General features: G+C 44.0%; 1 annotated feature.

Annotated features, from left to right (window-relative positions):
- Nucleotides 1,637-1,931: an enhancer, noted in NCBI's record as "tiled region #9909; HepG2 Activating DNase matched - State 1:Tss". NCBI's record gives its function as "activates a minimal TATA promoter and a strong SV40 promoter by Sharpr-MPRA in HepG2 cells {active_cell/tissue: HepG2}" and the evidence as "EXISTENCE:reporter gene assay evidence [ECO:0000049][PMID:27701403]".

Raw genomic sequence — 21,513 nt, 5'->3', positions numbered from 1 at the left:
AGAGAGCTACAAAGGAGGCTCAACTGTATCTGTAATATTTAAATTTCTTAAAAATATGTGACACAAACATGGCAATACGTTAAGAATTGACAAAAAAAAGTGGTGGGCACACAGATATTTTTAAGATTATTCTCTATATTTTTATATGCTTGAAATGGTTCCTTTAAAAATATTATATCCCTGCTGGGCACTGTGGCTCATGCCTGTAATGCCAGCACTTTGAGAGAATCGCCTGAGCCCAGGAGTTTGAGATCAACCTGGGCAACATGGCAAGACACCATCTCTACAAATATTTTACAATATATTAAATAAATAGAAATAAAAATTAAAATATTCTACCCAGAGCAAATATCTTACACCACCAGCCACCACCCCTGCCAACATCACCATCAAGCAGAAGCTGCCTTCATTCCCATGAATATTCACAGCCATATGTGCACAACTCTTCTGAATGACAACTTACTTCACTTCTCCCAGCTCCCTACTGGACTGCAAGATCTCTGATATTGAATTTTACTCATCTTTGCATCCCTCACATGATCTTTCATGGTATCTTGCTATAAAATGTATTTTCATTAAATACTGAATTGGGTAGAACAAAAATGTTAATTTGGGAAAGAGCAGACAGAACGGGCTACGTAATCTGTGGGGCCCAGTGCAAAATGAAAATGTGGTCACCTTGTTAAAAAAATTAGACTTTCAAGAAGGCAGTAACAGAGCATTAAATCAAATGCAGAGCCCTATGAGTGTAGAATCCTGTGCAACTAAACAGGCCACATACCCTTGAAGCCGGCTGACAACAGGCTTTGAATTCACAATTCACAAAGTATCTGAATGATTTATAAGGATGGAATGTAGGGAGGCCGCTAGCTATGCATCCAAATCCATTCTTTTCTTTTTCTACAGTAACAGAGTAATAAGTTGGTGGGTGGTCGCCCAGGTAAGAGCTACATTTCTCAAGCTCATAGTAAGGTGTGGCCTTGTCACTAAGTTTTCTCCAGCAGAACAGAGTAGAAAGGATGTGTCCAAAGTCCAAGAAGCATTGCCCCTCCACGCTGTCTTCCCCGACTCTGCCATATGACATGTGGATTTATGGTAACCCAGTTTCGACCATGGAAACAGCCTCAAGGACTCAGGATAGCAGAGCCACAAGATGGAAGGACTCTGGGTCCCTGAGCGTTTGTGTGGAGCAGGACTGCAGCACAGTCCCCTTAGACCACTAGGTGGCCCAAGTTAGTGAGGGTCTCTGGCTACAGCAGCTGAGCTTGGGTAACTTAAGTGATAGGATGAAAATACTATTTTTTATTCATACAACAGCCAGATATATGACCTTCCAGACTAAGCCAATGCTGTAACAGGCCTGCAGGCCCCTGTGCACTGGCGGCAGCAGTGGGCCCTGGGTCAGCTCTGAGGAAGGAGCTTAGTTTAGAGGAGGAAGGAGCTTAGTTTAGAGGGGGAAGGGAACTCAGCTCAGGTGGGACAGACAGCTCTCTCCAGAGAACTCAAGCAGCTGCACAGGATGTTAAAGTTCCTTGACAGAGCAAGCTTGGAAGTCCCACACTGAAAATATCTTACGGTACAGTCCATTAAAGATGTCCCCAGAGTGCCCAGAATCCTTCCTGCCAGCCTGGGATGGGCTCCTCACCAACCATTCAGATCTCTGTCTCTAGGAGAATCAGTAAGCAGGATCACTGGAGCTGAAAAGCAGCTGGGCTGTGGCAGATGGATCAGGGAAAGAGACTATTTACACAGCAGGATTGAGACAACACAGAGTCATCTAGTTCCCACCAAGGCTCCAAACAGCTCCCAAGCCATGTTAAGCCCCAAATCCAACCAGCTACTCACTGGATAACATCCAGGGATCAAGGATCAGAAGTTATATAACAAGCACATATCCCACAATGCACGCACATGCACGTGCACATGCACACACACACACACACACACACACACATCTTTCTTTGGCAACAGGCCTTGGCTTTCATAACCACATTCTACTTGGATTTGCTTGGGAATTTTAACAGCTACAATTAATGAATGTCTATGCCTCATATTCCTATTTCCCTGAAAACTGGGCCAGCTAACTGAAGAGGCTTAGGCAGAGGGAAACTAGGATATCTGACCTTGGACCTTGCAAAACCAAAGACGGATAGGAAGGAATCTGGAATTTGCCAAAGGATGCAGCTGAGAAAGTATTTTCAATATTTAGCATTTTCAACATATTTAACATGTTTTCCAAGAAACAGCCAGGCTACTCACTAAAGCCCATAAAAAAGCCAAGGTTTAGGGAACTTGCCTGAGGTCAGAGGGAAACTGAATGCCAGAGCCAGGACCAGGCTCAAGTCTTAACGGCCCCAGTCCTGCTCCAGCCCGCATACATACCTCTCTCCCTTTTAATTAAAAAGAACAGCAGAGGAGCAGACAGGTATCAAGCAAAGGCCAAATGGCATGTACTGCGTATACATGTCAGACTCTCTTCTCAAAAACACAGTGCAGTTGCAGGACCTAAAACACTAGTGAGAAACAAATCTTGGGACTGTAACAGCAAGGTAGGATGGAGAAGGGGGTTGAAACAATGCTGAAGCCATATGCAGAGAGCCCAGGAGTGGTTCCCACCTGGAGGCAGGCACCCGCAGGGCTGTGCATACACAGCCAAGCAGAGAGCAGCGGGGCCAGGACGGAGGTGGGGAGCCAGGACAACTTGCCTTCACGATACTCCCTGATGGCATGGTTCCATGGAAATCTGATGAATAGACATCCTTTCATTCAACCTTTTGATGAAGTGGAAAAAAATGGCAAATACAGGCCAAGCTGAAAATAATAAAACAAAAGGATGTAAGAAAGCTAAAGAAACATGCATGGTGAGCCATTTGGAATAAACACTCTGCTGCTGACACACCCTGGGATTCTGGAAAAAGACAGTTAACACAGGGAGGCGGACACAAGCTTCTTGTCAGGCTAAGGTTAAAAGGTCTGCCAAGGTAACAGAAGCTGGCTGTTTAGGGAAACTGCATCTTCTATCAGAGGCCTCTGCAAAAAGAAAGAACTTCAGGAGTGTTAATAAAGTTTCAAACGTGCAAACTCATGGGCGCACCATTTCGTGATCTGAGTTTATTTTGGGAGAGCAAGAGATGAAAAAGGGGCTACATATGGTTGACCAGAGCAGAGGGAGGGGTGCTGGCCTGTTTTTAAGCCATGAAAGCCTTGGTTAATAGCAGAGAGAGGAGACTGGGGAGAATCTTATCAAGGAGTTCCTGCCTACCATGCCCACATGCCCACCCTTCCATAGGTATCTATTGCCATGAACACTCACCAGCACCCACAACTTCCCTCTGGTTGACAGCCCAAAACAAGGCCTTCATTATAAAGCCTCATGGCAGAGCCTGCCAAGCCTCCCAAGAGCTGGTGGGAGCATACCAGCTATACCTTTCCCAAACTCTTCCCCATTCTTGGCCCAGTTTTTGTCTGACCCCTGACCCTCACTGATGGTGTTGTTTGTGGCCCCTACTCTAATTCCTACCTTTAAGACTTGGTATGGTTTTTACTTGATCTTAGGAGCACTGACCCTTAGTACGCCGACAAATGCCCACTCAGACCTCCTTTCTCCTTCAAAGTCCTGGGGTGAGGTACATGTCTTAGTTTCAGGCCCTGGGTTCCCTCACTCCCAGTGGTAGCCCACCCATCTGCCACCCCCACCAGTCCAACCCCAGCCTCAGGTGGGTGGTTTTGCAGAGTTAGAACAGGGACATACTGTGGTGGTACCTCTATTTGTAATTTGTTCCGTATGTTATACCTAACTTAATCTTTAGTTAAATGTACACAGCTAATCTCATATCTTGGGTTTATTTCTTTTATTAATTTTATTGTCCTTTAGCGACCAGAATTTAAAACCACCAATATTCAGGTTTTGTTAAGAAGACATACCAACCCAAATAGACTCAAAGCTCTGGTATCTCTAACTGAAGATCTTTGTTAGCTCTCACCTGTTTCTGAGCCCCTACTATGGGTCGAGAAGCATAGAGTGCACTGAGAAACCAAGGACAAGACACAATTCCCAATCTTGCAGGGCTCAATGTCCCATGGGGAGAAAGGCAAATATCCAGTGTTATGATTCAGGGTGAGTTTCACTAAGAGGGAGGAAGTGGAGGCATGCCTGATCCAAAGGAGATGATGACTAAACTCACTGTTAAGAAGACTAACAGAATAACAAGGGGGAAGAGTAAGGAGAGGAGGGGAATGGTAGAGAGAGTACTCTAAGAATGGGAGCAGCATGGGAGTGATAGAGAGACCCTGGCAAGTTCTCTGAGATGCATCAGTATGGCTAGAAGTGGGGAGATGTGTGTTTGGTAGGTGCTTCCAGGGAAGATAGAAACCAGTCAAGCTATGTGCTGGTGCACCTTGTACTCCAAGCTAAGCCATTTGGATTTTAGCTTGTGGTGTACTTTGACTCTTACACTTTCATGAACATAAAATCACAAGGAGAGCTTGTTTTAACTGTAGGCTCCTGAACCCTGCATGCAGAAATTCAGATTCAATGGCCAGAGAGTGGACCCAGGAGTCTGCAGGTTGATAATCCCTCCCTTCCCAGGGTGAGTTTGATGCAGGGGATTGTTGGGTGACACTTTTCCAAACACAGCTGTAGGAGACATGGAGTTATAGAGGGGTGGCATGATCAGGACTGTTTCAGAAAAATCACTCTTACAGAAAGCACCCTGTACATGCTCACTCAGCAGAGCCCCCTAATCCTTTGATAATCCTCCTGTAACCTTCTGTTGCCCAGGGGCTGCAAAGCTCAGAGTGGGCTCTGAGAGTGACAGTCTCCTGAGAAGAGAGGCCACTGGGAAGGCCATGTCTGAGTGGTCCTGGACTGCTTTGTTTTGCCTCTTTTGTAGCCCAAAACCCAAGACAAGGAGGTGTGCTGGTTGTGAAAGCATGAAAGCCCTGGGGCCCCAGGTCCATTGATGGGCTTATGGATTCTGGAGGACACAGCTAGGGGCTAGAGCCTGGAACAGATCCCTGTCTGGTCTAGCCAAGGCTGCAGAAGCTCCTGACAGGATGGAACCTGTGCTCATTTTGTTAACAAAAGACCCAGGGGAATTTGGGTTCAGGTCCTGTCAGCTATTTACCCCTGAAATGTCAATGAAAGCACCTCCTAGAGCTGACCTCACCCTGATTAATGTAGTCTAGCTTCCTGCAGCCAATACTGATAAATTCACTGATAAATATTTTGTATGTGGGTTTTTGTAGCGACTGCCTTCTTATAACCTGGGGATACTGGGAATGGTCAGAAACCCAGGCTGGGTGGCTGACGCTGGCTGACAGCACAGAAGGCTAGGTGATGTTATCTCTTCTTGTTACTCACAACCTGCTCACACCAAATTCCAGGTCCTATCAGCACCCACCATCTGTCTCATCTTCCCATGCTTCCTCCAAAGCAAGAGTCTCATCTCTCCCAAATTTAGACAATGCTATGGAAAGTATCATTTTGCATCATAATTTTAGAACATGATGTCAGAGCAAGAGGGCAAGAAACAAGTCTTGGGCTTCTTTTTTCTGGCTCTTGGTAGCAAGCAGCTACTCCAATGAGCAGGTCTGAAATGAGCAAGAGATCTCTCTATGGGTGGGGTGGGCTGGGACTCACTTTCAGCCCCCCAGCCAATATGCTAAAAACTCAGCTCCAAGGCCACCCAGTCACCAGCTATTATACTGGGACCACTTGTTGACTAAACACTTCCCAGATAACTTTTTGGCCTATGCTTAACATAATTGCCCCTTCACCAGCTGAATCCTGACTGGAACTTGCTGGTATTGTGACCCCATTGCCATCTGGTGGGACAGCATTAAAGATCTGGAGAAGAAAACAGAAAAAATAATCATATTCAGGTGCTTTAAACGTCTATAAGGAGATAGCTCAATTTAAGGTAGAGACAGGGACCTAAATTAAACATTTTGGCTTTTCTATGTCAAACTGTCTGTCAATTTATAGGCCATAAACATTTAAACGTCATATTTGTGTGTGTGTGGTCTGATGATATTTGCGTGCAGTCGATACCTAAAATATTTAAGAAACATCAACCTTATGTCACTAATTAAAGGATAAGTTTCACACAAGTATCAAACATATTTATAATTAATAAGGAGCTTCTAGAGAGTTGATCATTTGGAATCTACTTTCAATATCATGCTCAGGCCAGGCATGGTGGCTCATACCTGTAATCTCATCACTTTGGGAGGCTGAGCCAGACAGATCATTTGAGGTTAGGAGTTCGAGACCAGCCTGGCCAACATGATGAAAACCCATCTCTACTAAAAATACAAAAATCAGCTGGGCATGGTGGCACATGCTTGTAATCCCACTACTCAGGAGGCTGAGGCAGGAGAATCACTTGAACCCGGGAGGCGGAGATTGCAGTGAGCTGAGATCAAGGTCGAGCCACTGCACTCCAGCCTGGGTGACAGAGCTGAGACTTTATCTCAAAACAAAAACAAACCATGAACAAAGCTTGAGATGGCTATCAAGGATACTATTCTACTCTAAAGAACTAAAGCAATAAAATCATTACAACTTGTTAACATGAGGAATTGAGTGGTTGGGTTTAGTAAGACCCAGACAAAGTACCTGCGCATCTTGGTGCAGAGACCAAGAGGCTGATGGGTCAGGACAATTCAGTGATGATCATCCCTCTGCTGCTCATGACACCCATGACACCTAGAGACAGGGATTTAAAACTGGCCCAACTAGGGAGTGCAGTCACCATCCATTCGGATCTGGGATAAAGATACCTGAAGTCCCAAGATAACTGTTAGATCTAGGAATTGGTTGTAACTAGAATAAGCCTTCAGGTAGTCTCCAAAATGATATGTTTATACATTTTATAGCTATTTTGTCAAAAGTGGGACATATAAGTCAGACATGTCCACATACAGGAAACTCATTCATGTCAATTAATTCTAGACATTATTACCTCAACATTAACTATGAGAATTAAACTGAGGCTCAGAGAAATTCAGGATCATATAACTGGTAAGTGGTAGAGTTCACCCAGAATGGTCTGTCCCCACCCCCATCTTGTTTCCACTACACTTTCTTTCCAGCACACCATACCTGTGACACCTGGGTTTACTGTCTTGTTCAAGGGACATGGCTGTTTCTCAGTCTTATAGTCAAGAATTTCCATCTGGGGTACACAACAATTATAACAAAAAACTATAATTATTGGTCATGTCTGGCCTGCCAGTGTAGGATGGCCCCCAATACCATCAAGGCCAAAATCAAAGATCAGGGGGCCCCACTGCCATGCCTTCACCCTTCCCAAGTACTCTCAGCTTGGGGACCCAACTCAGAACCACAGAATAAATTTTCAGACACCAAATGGCAAAGGTGAGTGATACGGTTTGGATCTGCGTTCCCGTGCAATCCCATGTTGAATTGTAATCCCCAGTGTTGGAAGTGAGGCCCGGTGGGAGATGATTGGATCATGGGAACAGTTTCTCCTGAATGCTTTAGCGTCATCCCTCTTGGTATTGTCCTCATGACAGTGATTTCATTTTTGCAAGATCCGTTTTTGTTGTTGCTGTTGTTGTTGTTGTTGTTGTTGTTTTGAGATGGAGTCTCACTCTGTCTCTCAGGCTGGAGTGCAGTGGTGTGATCTCGGCTCACTGCAACCTCCACCTCCCAGGTTCAAGCGATTCTCCTGCCTCAGCCTCCCAAGTAGCTGGGACTACAGGCATGCACCACCACCCCCCAGCTAATTTTTGTATTTTTAGTAGAGACGGGGTTTCACCATGTTAGCCAGGCTGGTCTCAAACTCCTGACCTCAAGTGATCCACCCACCTCAGCCTCCCAAAGTGCTAGGATTACAGGCATGAGCCACCACGCCTGGCCAAGATCTGGTCATTTAAAAGTGTGTGGCACCTCCCCTCCCACCCCCCTCCCCCCGCTTTCTCCTGCTCTGGCCATGTGACGTGTGTGCTCCCCCTCTGCCTTTTTCTGTGATTGGAAGCTTCCTGAGGCCTCCCCAGAAGCTGATGCCACCATGCTTCCTGTTGAGGCTGCAAAACTGTGAGTCAATTAAACCTCTTTTCTTTATAAATTGCCCAGTCTCAAGTATTTCTTTATAGTAATTCAAGAATGGACTACTACAGTGAGTTTCAGGAGATCAATATTTTCACACACACAAAGGCACACAGACAGCTGGGTTGCTCTTCATCTTAGGCACACAAAGGATTTTATAAGTATCTGGTTGGTTCCTCTCAGATATTATATTTCAGGTGGGTCAGTTGAGTCCTTCCTATTCTCAAATTGTCATCTCAATTTATAAATTATGACTGCCCCAAGCTGTAACAATTATGTTGCAAAGCTGTGGCTCTGTAACCTACTCATGGCAAAACAGAGAAGGCTTAAAAGACATAATAGAAATGGGAGGAACACTAACATTTGTCAGGTCTCTATTACAAACCAGGAGCTTTCAAAATAATCCTATGAAGTAGTTATTCTTACCCTCACTTTTTAGCTGAGGCCACTCAAGCTTTGGGAGGTTAAGTGATCTGCCAAACTCATACAGGTAATGAGAGGCAGAGCTGAGATTTGAATCCAGATTTGTCTCTTTCTCTCTCTCTCTCTCTCTCTCTTTTTCAGAGACGGTGTCTCACTATGTTGCCCAGGCTGGAGTGAAGTGGTGTGAGCATAGCTCACTGCAGCCTTGAACTCCTTATCTCAAGCAATCCTCCCGTCTCAGACTCCTGAGTAGCTAGGACTACAGATGTGCACCACCATGCCCAGCCAGATTTGTCTCTCTTAACATCAATATATTATCTCACTTAATTTAATTTAATTTAATTTAATTTACTATTCTTAACATTATTACTATTACTCCTCCTTTACAGGCAGAAAACTGAGGTTGCTTATGAAAAGGGTTTGCCCTCTGGGACACTCAACTTAAGCACTTTTCAGTCTTACAAAACCATTATTAAAACACAAATCAAGACTCCTAACAGAATACAACACAATATAAGCTCTTGAGGACAAACCCCTCACAATAAGCACTCAACTGTTTCACAGTTCCAGGAGAACTATGTATAGCCCTCATGTTTTAATGGTACAACCATTATGTTTTAATGATACAACCATTACCTACGTAATGATGTAATGAGCCACCTCAAATGAACCAAGACTTCCAAATCAAGATCTGAAATAAAACTCAGATCTGAAGAGAGGATTCTGGGAAGATAGCAGAGTAGGGAAGCACCAGGAATCTATCTCCCCACCTACACAACAATTTCGGTGGCAGGATCTGTCTGATGTGACTATTTTGGAACTCTAGAGTCTATTAAAAGACTTCCAATTTCCAGGGGAAGGCTTGCATGGTAAAGTGTGGGTTAATTTTAGTCAACTTCAGCTCATAGCAGCTACCCATCACTCATGCCCAGGGCAGGCAGCTGTGATGTGTTCCTGGAGCAGCTTGCTGGCAACTAGCGGAAGGCAGGACAGACAATAAGGACCCTCTGCTCCAAAAATTGGGGATCTGTGTTCTGATTACTGATTGTTGCTTCTGATCTTGAAGATGCAGGCACAGGCAGGCAGCCATTATTGCTCCCTTTCCCCTATTGTTGCAAGTCCTTTCTCCTCAAGCAGAAGCAAATTCTGGGGGATTTAAAGTGCTGTGTCCTTTTCCTCCCTGCTCTACCCTTTCATTTTTCTCTTTTTCCCCTTTTGGGAGCCAAACATGTAAAGTCTTGTACATTCAAGAGCAACCATACACACAGGGCAGTTTAGAAAATGATTGTGCATGCCCAGGGAAAGGTGCAGGCTTTAAAAAGACCTGAAAAGACTTTAGGTTTGCACCTCAGGCTGATCCTTGGCATAGAGACAGCCCACAACAATCAAAAAACAAAAATGAAAATCAGTAAACCTTGGGGAAGAGTTAGAATCTGATTTCCAGAGTTACTGCGATATTAGATTCAAATGTCCAGTTTCAATAACAACAACAGAAAAATCACAAGGCATACAAAGAAACAGGAAAGTACGGCTTCTTCAAAGGAAAAAGTAAACCAACAAAAGCTGTCCCTGAGCAAGACCAAATCACAGACTTGTTAGACAAAGACCTTAAAACAACTGTCTTAAAGATGCTCAAAGAACTAAAAGGAGACATGGAGGCTGGGCGCAGTGGCTCACACCTGTAATCTCAGCACTTTGGGAGGCCGAGGTGGGCGGATCACCTGAGGTCAGAAGTTCGAGACCAGCCTGACCAACATGGTGAAACCCCATCTCTACTAAAAATACAAAAATTAGCTGGGCATGGTGGCAGGCACCTGTAATCCAAGTTACTCAGGAGGCTGAGGTAGGAGAATCGCTTGAACCTGGGAGATGGAAGTTGCAGTGATACAAGATCATGCCACCGCACTCCAGCCTGGGTGACAGAGTGAGACTCTGTCTCAAAAACTAAAAATGGTTAATATGTAAGTGTCATGTGTATTTTACCACAATTTTTAAAATGCATTGTTTTTAAAAACTCAGATCTGGAAGCAACTGATGTATCTTATCATTGGCTTCTTTGGTTTTTGTTTAAGACTTTCTTGAATGCAAATAACAGAAACCAATCTGAGTTAGCATCAATAAAACAAGGGTTTTGTTGGAAGAATGAAATCCAAGAAATAGGACAAGACAGCTTGTAAGACTTCAGTGAAGAAATTTGAAGACCTTCCTTCTACAGCTTAGAAAGCTAACATGAATCCATTCCCAATTCCTGGACTCAGTCCAAAATCTCAGAATAAGAATCTAATGGGTCCAACTAAACCAATCAGTTACAGTGGGAGTAGGGTGCCAGGACGTATCTGAGAAGTAAAGTTCTCAGCAAGGAGAAAATAATCAGTCACCCCTAAATATCCCTTCACAAAAATATATGGTAATTCCAAATTCTAAGCATAAGATTATAATATGAGCAGCAGAATATGGTGGGTAAAACGCCATGTAAGAAGTCAGAAGATCTGATTCTCATGAATCCTCTGTACTGACCTTGGGCAATTCCTTCATCTGTAAAAGGAGGAGTTGAAGTAAATGATCAAATATCTTCTAAAGTCACCCTCAGTTCTAAGGCTCTCTAGATGCTGTTGTACTATTTACTTCAAGGCAACTGTAGCACAGCTGTCTGAAGAATGTACATGCTTTGATGAGCTCGAGGATCTCTTAGAAGCTTTTTCTAAGAAATAAATGAGTGCAGTATCTCAAGAAGATAAACATCCAGCTCTATGAAAGGAGGAAGAAAAAATAAATGTCTTCAGGGCTGGCCTCACAGATCCCATTTCTAATGGGATTTCTTCTATGCCTATTACTGTGTAGACTGAATGTTTGTGTCCCCTCCCCCCACCCCCAAATTCACATGTTGAAATTCTATTGCCAGTATGATGGTATTAAGAGGTAGGACCTTTGGTGGGTGATTAGGTCATTAGGGCTAATCTGGGACTAGTGCCCCTATAAAAAAGACCCTGGAGAGCTCCCTCACTCCTTTCGTCATGTAAGGACTCAGTGGTAAGATGGCTGTTCATGAACCAGAAAGTGAGCCCTCACCGGACATCAAATCTGTTAGCACCTTGATCTTGAACTTCCCAGCGTCTAGAACTGTGAGTAATAAATGTATGTTGTATATAAGTCACTCAGTCTACGGAATTTTGTTATAGTAGCCCAAACAACACCTATCTAAAGTTCTGTTTGTCCTCAGCTCACCTAGCACATGAAATGACCACAACATAATATGGCTATTCTGGATTTGTGCTCAGTTCTTTATTTTTATCCCGCCTCAAGTTAACTCTGAACCTGATCCAGAGGTACTGCTGGTATTTTCCTGATGCCAATCAACCAAAATAGAGCCCAACTCATTATTAGAATAGGAATAATGAATCACAGCAATTTGTTTCAACCATACACTTAATTTCTTATCATACCCTTTGTATATTTTCTATTAATGATTCTATTCTGCACCAAGCACAGTACAATCATGCATTGCTTAACGATGGGGATATATTTTGCAAAACGCATCATTAGGCGATTTTGTTGTCATGTGAACATCATACAGTGCACTTACCCAAACCTAAATGGACTAGCCTACTACATACCTAGGCTATACGGTATAGCCTATTACTCCTAGGCTACAAACCTGTATAGTGTGTTACTGTACTGAATACTGTGTAGAAAATTGTAACACAATGGTAAATACTTCCATATCTAAACATCAAAAATACATTTTAAAATGGTATGCCTGTATAGGGCACTTACCATAAACAGAGCTTGCAGGACTGGAAGTTGCCCTTGGTGAGTCAGTGAGTGAGTGGTGAGTGAATGTGAAGGCCTAGGACATTACTGAATACTACTGTAGACTTCATAAGCACTGTACACTTAGGTGACACTAAATTTATTCAGAAACTATTTCTCTTTAATAACAAATTAACGGTTTTACTTTATAAACTTTAACATTTTTTAAACTTTTTGGTTCTCTTGTAATAACACTTAGCTTTAAACACAAATTGTATAGCAATAACAAAATTATTCTCTTTCTTTATATCCTTATTCTATAAGCTTTTTACTGCTTTTTAAATTCTTTATTTTTTCTCTCTTTAAATGTTTTGGTTAAAAACTAAGACACAAACACACATATTAGCCTAGGCAAACACAGCATCAGGGTCATCAATGCCACCTTCTTCCACCTCCACATCTTGTCCCACTGGGAAGTCTCCAGGGGCAATCACACTCATGGAGCTGTCATTTCCTACCACAGCAATGCCTTCTCCTGGAATTCCTCCTGAAGGACCTGCCTAAGGCTGTTGATGGAAATGTAGTTATGTGGCACACAACTATACTTGAGTTTTTGCCTAAAACTAAATTAGCTCTCACCTGAAACACATTTAAAATTGCTACACATTTGCCACTCCTGCCCACCTATCCCCCAGCCCCTTTACTCTGCTCTGCTTTTTCCCCATAGCACTTATCGCCTTCCAATATGTCAAAGAACTTATGTCTATTTTTTATTGGGAGTTTTCTCCCACCAGACTGTAGGTTCTACAAGGACAGATATCTTACTGTGGTATAATAAAAAATACATATCTGGTATTTCTCCCTGCATCCTGGCAGAGAGCTCCTAAAACCCTTGAAATTTTCTGAGTGATGGAAGTGTCTTTTTGTTATTCCTAATAAACCTCTTTTGAACAAACCTGACTTTTTGCTAATGAGGTGACTCATCGTGGACCCCCATATAGCTTCAGGATGGGGGCTGGTTGCCAAAGGAACCAACCATGTTATTAGAGAGCTGGAACTTTCAGCCCTTCTCCCAACCTCTGAGAGGGAAGAAGAGCTGGAAATTTAGTTCAATCACCAATAGCCAGTGATTTAATTAATCATGCATATGTAATGAAACTCCATATAAAAGCCCTAAACAATGGGGCTTGGGGAGCTTCCAGATTTAACACTTCCATATGATGAGAATATACCCCAATTTCACCAGGACAGAGGCCCCTGCACTCCAGACCCTTCCAGACCTCAGTCTATGTACCTCCTCATCTGGTTGTTCATTTATATCCTTATAATAAACTAGGATCATATGTTCCTGAGTCCTGTAAGTTGTTCTAACCAATTATTGAACCTGGTGCTGGGGAGGTTGTGGGAACTCTAGATTTTGCAGTCTGCCAGGCAGAAGTGTGGGTAGCCTGTAGACACCATTTGCAGCTGGCATCTAAAGTTGGGGGTGGGGGGTGCATTCTTATAGGACTGAGCCTTAACCTGTGTGGTCTGCACTAACTCCGGGTAGTTAATGCCAAAATTGAATAGAATTGCAGGACACCCGGTTGGTGTCAGAGAATCAAATTAGTTGTTACTGGAAAAACAACACATCCTCCTAGAAAACTGCCTAGTACACAGTAGGCACTCAACTAATATTTGCCGGATGAATGGATGGATGTCACCTCCCCTACAGACTGCCATTAAAGTTCTCATTCTGATCATCATCTTCCTGGACACCCCATTTCCTTGCTAATGGTTTCCTAGCAACTCAATAAATAAGTATTTTTGATGCCCACACAGGCATCAAATACGTATTTTTGATGCCAGGCACTGAGGTACAATCACTAAGGAAGGTAGCCAGGAGGCATGGAGGATGCCATCCGATGCCATGCAGCTTAGTGCAGCTCAGAACTCCAGGATTCCTTGCCTACCCCACCAGGGCGGGGCAAGGCCTTGTGAACAGGAGAGTCCTGGCCCTCTTTGAAACTCAATCTTCATGGTTCACAGGCATCCTTCAGCCTCTCCCTGCATGCAGCAATAATGCAACCCTGAACACATCCCTCTGAACTTCTGAAGCCTGAACTAAATTGCAAGGGAAAGACCGGCCCTGACAACACAAGGTACAAGAGTTATTTTCAGCAGGAAACAGAGCTGGCCAAGAGCGCAGTCATCTGTGTTTTCAGCAATTGAGCCCTCCCTCCCCCACCTGCTGCCAGGGTATCCACAGCTAAAAGCCAGCTCAGTCCATCTGTGGCTTTGAGCTTCTACATCTAACACTATAGGGAATTTTAAAGAAATTCCACTTACCCCACAACATCCACAAAAATAAATTCCAAATGGATAAAAGAGATTAATGTAAATATGAAGCTCCTATATTACTAGAAGATAATATTGTAATCTGGAATAGAAGAGGCCATTCCAAACAGAATACAAAACACAGAGGTTATAAAGGGAAATTTAGGCCTATTTGCCTAACTAAAATTTTGAAAATGTTTAAGAACAAAAGTTTCCACTAACAATGTCAAAGACAAACTGATACAAGTGTCTTCAGTATAGATAAATAGAAGGTTAATAATCATAATACATAAAAGGCTTCTACAAATTAAACTCTTTGAAGATGAAGGACAGGAGAGAAGAGAGTTTTATTTGAAAGAGTGGGCAGAGGCAAAGAAAGGGGAAAAGAACAGTGAGAGAGAGAATAGCCTCTTCCCATCCACTCGATCCCCAGGCTGATTTTGAGGCCACCTACAAGAGGCATTAGCAGCAGAAGCTGATGGGGACTACTCAGTCGAGAACTCATGAGATGCAGGATCTGAGCAGAGCAGACTGGGGACCCAGATGACAAAGGACACTGGCACACATTGAGCAGACTGTCCTCTCCCACCTCTGCCTGGACACCATCATCCCATCTATGCCAACCAAGGACTGGAGACTCAGGAGGCACCTGGAGACAGCACCTACGACGTGGACTTTGGTGTCTGGCTCCCATGAACTTCTCCAAGCTTCTGTGAGCAGCAGACACACAAGGGTGGGAGCAAACGTGGGAGAAGAGAAACAGAGAGGTTGCCATATGGACTACAAGCACCAGACAGGCTTATGGACACATGTAAGGCACCCTTTGGGGGACTTCTGGAAAGAACTGGGGGACACTTTGAGGGTCCTGAGGGCTTGTTTTTGCTTGGGTGAAAGATACTGCAACAGGAAATGTCTGGACCTACATATATATGCATTTCTTTTAAAGTTTGGAAGGATAATGGTTGGGAGGGACAGGACTGTAAGGGGAGGCAGGAAATTCCACTTTCTATTGTATAAAATTCTGGAATGTTTCTTTTTTATAAGGAATATACATGTACATAAAACTTTAGTAATAATAACTTACAATAAGATAGTCCCATTTAGAAAAAAATACACAGGATATGGCACTGGCTTTCAAGGATTGAGCTCTTCTCCTCACCGTTGCTGGTGACAACATGAGTCCACAATGACATCATCTAGTGCATGCCAATACCTGTGACAGGGAATAAAGCACAGAGCTGCAGGAGGCACAGGAGCTTCCCTGGGTCCAGTTTCCAGAACAGAATCATGACCAAGGTCAAAAGCTGGCTTGGTGGCCAGCGTGGAGTGCCAGGGTTACCTGTTAACCCTGGCATAGAGCCCCTGAACTTGTTCTGCCTCCAGAGCTCTTAGAAGTTTTTCTTAGAAGTTCTTCTTTTGTGGGCTGACACCATGGGATAAAAAGGGTTTCTCTCTCATAAATGCTTAGGTTACAGGAGAGAGATGGAACTGAAGTCTCACACCCTACTGCTCCCATGAAAATGTCCAGTGTCTCCACTGAGACATGTGTGACCTGGCCCTGCTTTCCTCTCCAGCCTCATGTCCCATCCCTTGTGACTCTCTGCAGAGGGCAATAATACAATTGGGAATAGAAGAATGAGCCAAGGGGCTGGTGTGGTGGGAGGGGATCCAGATTAGAGAGGTGACAGTTTGGGGAATAGTATGTGCCTGCTACAAGAGTCCTCCCTGAACACCCCTGGGTTAGACACCATCAGCTCTGCTCCTGGACCACCCAGGGTCATCTGTGGAAACATTACTACTTTGTGGAATGTTTGACTCGTTATATGTCTATAGCCCCTACCAGACTGTGCGCATTTTTGCCAGCATGGGCAGTAGCATTTGTCACAGTTGCCTCTGGTTCTGGGCAAAAGGTTCAATAAACAGTTGCTGAATGAGAAAGTTGCTGGTCTGGCCTAACCTTTCAGGCACTCTCATGTCAGGCACAGAGCATTCTGGGCTGGGCTCTCACTTGCTCACCTGTAAGCTCCACACAGTTCTAGGGTACAGATGGTGGCAAAACTCCAACAAATAGCCACACTGGCCCAAATATCTCTTCCTGGAAGAGAAACCTCAACACACAAAAAGAATTAAATGCCGACGGAGGTCACTGAGGCCGCAGACCCCTCACCCAGAGTTCTCAATGTGCTGATTCACCAGGAGCAAACAGGAGCCCTAAGGCCTGGCAGAGGAGAGGATGGTGCACCAGAAATGGGAGTTCTAGCTCTGACTCCACCCCAGAGCCTGTAAAGGTCTGGGTTTGGTGCTGGCTATGATCCTGGGAGTAGGAAGGTAAGAGAAAAGCTGGCCAATCTGAAAAGCACATAGGCTGGGCTACACCCAACCTTGACCTCAGCTCTGGAGACAGCCCAACCCAAATCCTCCCACCTAAAACAAACTCGCCTTGCATCATACATTCATATTGTGAGTCACAGGGCAAAAATCCCCTGAAGACCCTTGTGGTTGGTGCTTTTTACAAACAAGGATATCTATATTGGGCAGCTAGCTACCTTTCCTTTGACAGGAAAGAGACATGCCTCCCCACACCTCATTTCCCACAGTACAGATCTTGTCTGGACCTTATTTTTGCCAAGACCAGGCAATAACCAGCCCTGTGGTGCTGTGCTGTGTCACCAGCCTCAGCCTCCCTCCCCAACACTTGAACTCTGGAGGCAAACCCATGCCCCTTTCCTAAGATGCTGGAGTTGAGAGGCTGCCAACTATGTTATAAGGAAGATGGGAGCAATCTATTCCCACTGAGCTAACTGAGGTAGTGGGAAAGGAGAGGGTTTGTTGAGATTTTTCCTCTATTCTATTAAATGCACAGGCTTTGGCATCAGTCAGACCTGGGTTCAAGTCCCAGCTCCGCCACTTTCTAATTATTTGACTTTGGGCCAGTCACCAACCTCTCTGAATCTCGGTTTGAATCTATAGAGTGCAGATAGGACTAACATCCACCTTGAAGGGTTGCTATGAGGACTATGTGAAGCAATAACTGTCATACACGCAGCATGGCACCTGCATAGTGCACAGTAAGAGCTTAGCAAATGTTAACAACTGTTCACAGCCGGGAAATTTTGGGCCCAGAACAATAGGGCTTATGTTTTTTTTTTTTTAATTTCCCCATGAACCATTGTAATTGAGCTTATATCAAGACCAAATCCTAATCCCACACACAGAATTCATGTCTTGTCGTGTCACCCATCTACTACCCCATAGTTCCAGCTACTTTGGATTAAACAACTGAGAGCTCAGAAGTGTACAAATAAAAATCCACAAGCAAAGACTGGCCTGTCTCTGACCGTAATGGCAAATACAAAGCCCAAGAATCCCCACAGCTCAGATCTGCTGTTTCTTTCTGCCCTGGCAGTAAGCTCAGAAATCTGGCAGCTGAAATTCAAGTTACTCACTTTGAGCGTGCAATACCTCTGCCTCAGTGTTTTTGCTTATTCATGGTGAGAAGGGTTACTTTTTAACCTTATTTAAAAAAAAAAAAAATCTCTGCAGCCAGCAGTGGGAGGACTGAGTACCAGGAAGCTGGAAGCGCCTTCAGGACGCGTGATAATAGACGTCACCTGTTGGAGAGGCTGGTCCCGGGTCCCCCTGCCAGTTTTGGGCCAATAAACCCTACTGTTCTGTTTGGGTTGGCTTCGATTTCTGGCATTTTACAAATCTAAAGGATTCAGATGAGGCGGGCAATAGGGTGAGTAAAGACTACAACCCCAAATGTAAGTTAGGGTCCTTAGCCAAACTTTCCCTGACTTGGTTAACAAATAAGCCAGTGATTAAGCACATTCTATTCTGTAGCCCAGAGAGGATCCTCCCCATTACCCAGCCACATAAACTCTAGAATAGTAACTTCAGCCCCAATTCAACATCACTTTGTTTGTGTTTGCTGCATGTGGTGGATGGCAAGCCCACCTCCAACTCCAAAGCCACTGCTGGGACACCATCAGGACCCAGAGCAAAGGAAGGTGGGGCCCTGTTCTGTGGGACTGGCCCACAGGGATTGGTGTATGCCTGGCACTGTGCCTACCACTTTACCTGCATTTCTTCAGTTAATCCTTATAACAACCCCATGCCGCAGAAACTGTTATTCATGTCCCCTTTACCTATGGGAAATGGATAGCTCAGAGAGGTTAAGTGGCATGTCCAAAAAATCGTCAGAAGCAGACCTTAAACTCCACAATCTGATGTCAGATAACACCACCTTTACCATCAGAAGGGGATGCAAAGACAGGAAGAAGAATGTTCCAGATTGAAGGAACAGCACTTGCAAAACCATGAAGTTACAAGTTAGAAAGACTGTGGCATTTCCAAAAATTGGGAGATTAGTGAGCAGTGGAGTTACTTGGGAAGGCTCAATGGGAGAGGGAGAAGGATTGGGAGGGACCCAGGGGAAAGGGAAGCGGAAGAGGCAAGAAACCCAAGTGCAGTTAAGGAGTCTGGCATGTTCAGGAAACAGCGAAAGACCAAGCACAGACTTGGTTACAGCAAAATGTGCTGACATCCCTGCTGTAATATATCTATTCTCTAAACTAAAGCCTATCTGAACATGTATGAATGAGTGCTGTTAAGGACACCTGTGAATTGTGGCAGCTCTCATCAATGCCTCAGGACCAGAACTCAGGCTACCATCCTCAGGGAGGCATGGTGTCCTACCTGTGGTTCTCTCAGCCAACCTCTGCTGACATTCTATTCCCTTCCACACCAGGGGCATTGCAAATGTGGGTGGCTCATGATAGCTTCCTCTAGACAAGCTCTTTAGACTCAAAATCCTTTTACAAAAGAAGTTGCTCTTTATTTGTGCTTTGGGAATTCCATTGTTCAGATGGCAAGTTTAACTTCTTCTCTCTTTGGCACTGAGAAAAAAAAATGTTTTTGTTTTTAATAGGCTTCTACAAATCAAATACTTAATATTTCTCTTAAAATTGAGGTTATCTGGGTGACTAGTTCAAGAGACATTCCAGGTTGTCCTGACACAACCAGAGAGGCTGGTCACTGTCCGGCTGAGACACCAGCTCCTTGTCCGGGAAAGTTAAGCACACTGGAGCCAGCCCCCAACCCCCAGGCAGCATGGGTCTCTCCCTCCTCCCAGGTCCTCAAGCCTCCTAAAATCTCTGCCTCTGACCTCATATCATAACTTTCTGTGACCAAGCCACCACACAGAAAGTTCCTGGAGGTGAGGGTCACGCTTCATCTACTCTTCCAACAAGTATACACTAATGCCTTCTAAGTGCCAAGCAAATTGTTAGGCCTGGAAAACACTGCCAGCAAGGCTGTTCTGGTACTGGAAATGCCAGGATGCCAAGAGTACATGAACATTTATGAGTATGCACTCTGGAGCTAGACTCCCCTGCTCCAACACTGGCTAGCTAAGTGACCCTAGGCAAGTCACTTAACTTCTACGCAACTTCGTTTCCACTCTATCTAATGGTGATAATAACAGGGCCTACCTTATCATGATGAGAGGATAAAATGAATCCAAATAGGTAAAGTACATCTATGGTTAGTACTCAGTAAGCTCTATGTACAAGGGTAAGCACAAGATGTTTTAGGAGACCACAAGAGGGTTGCATAACTCAGACTTGGGAGGGCTTCCCAGAGGATTCGCACTCTAAACAGGGACTTTAGAAATCAGTTAACCATCGGAAGGGGATGCAAGGACAGGAAGAAGAATGTTCCAGATTGAAGGAACAGTACTTGCAAAACCATGAAGGCAAGAGTCCATGCTTTCTTTGATGAGTTTGCTTCATTTAAAAAAAATAAAACAAACAGCAATTCAGTCACTAATAACAGTTATTACAAAGTTTGTACTGTGCCTTCTATCCTTGAACTATTAGTGTACAAACTGCAAAGAATGCAGATTTAGGTCACAGAGAGCAAGTCTGAACTAAATCCATCTTTGAAGGCTCTACCAGCAAGGTCAAAATGGCTCACAGTTCTCTTTTTATTTTCAACAGGAAACAAACATTTATGAACCCCAAATGTTAGGTTAATTTAATGGCTTCTTAGAAGATGTTTGGTCTGAGGATTTTGGAAGAGAAAACACAGTGTAGTCTTTGTTTTTTACTCCTCACCACAGCACATTGCTTGTGGGAGGCACCCAATAAATTCTTTTTCCTTTTATACTCAAATGCACTGCATTTTAGTTTTCATACTAGTTTTTTAACAAATGCTTTTTAAATGATGTATGTTCAAATGAATCCTGCCAATGCCCAGAACTTCTCTTCCCACTCACCTCACAAAAGGCAAGCCTAGGCCTGCCTCCAGCCTCTTAGAGTAGCAGCTTATCTCCAAGATGACATCCCCACAGAGCTGAGTTTTATGATCAGCTATCAAATCTCAGCATAAACTGAGAGCAAAGATTGGAAAGACAATAAAAATAGAAACGAGGCCAAGCATGCTGGCTCACACCTGCAATGCCAGTGCTTGGGGAGGCTGAGGTGGGAGGGCCTCTTGAGCCCAGGAGTTCAAGGCCGTGGTGAGCTAGAATCACATCATGGCACTCCAGCCTGGGTGACAGAGCAAGACCCTGTCTCTAAAAACAAACAAACAAGCAAGTCAGGTTTTACATGCCAAGCCAGTTCAGAGAAGCAGTGGGACCTATGATTAAATTTCGATTTTAAGAAAACTAAAGGGGAAGGAATTTTCCCAGCAAGCAATAATCCTTTTCAGAAGACTAGCAAAGCCTGTTCTTTATTAATGAATGAGGAACTGTGGTTCCTGAGATAATAGGAGGAAAGGGATTTTATAATTCATCAAAGCCAGGGATTTTCAAACACCTTTTGAAAGCTTTGTTCAAAATAAATATTACCAAGATATGTAAATAAAACACACCATGACAGAACTATTCTGGTTGAACGCAGGGACTAGGCCCCAATATTGTTGCCTTCTAACCCCAGAACATATCT

Source organism: Homo sapiens, chromosome 1 (genome assembly GCF_000001405.40).
Source record: "Homo sapiens chromosome 1, GRCh38.p14 Primary Assembly".
Lineage (NCBI taxonomy): Eukaryota > Metazoa > Chordata > Mammalia > Primates > Hominidae > Homo > Homo sapiens.
This window is presented reverse-complemented; position numbering and strand designations above follow the sequence as displayed.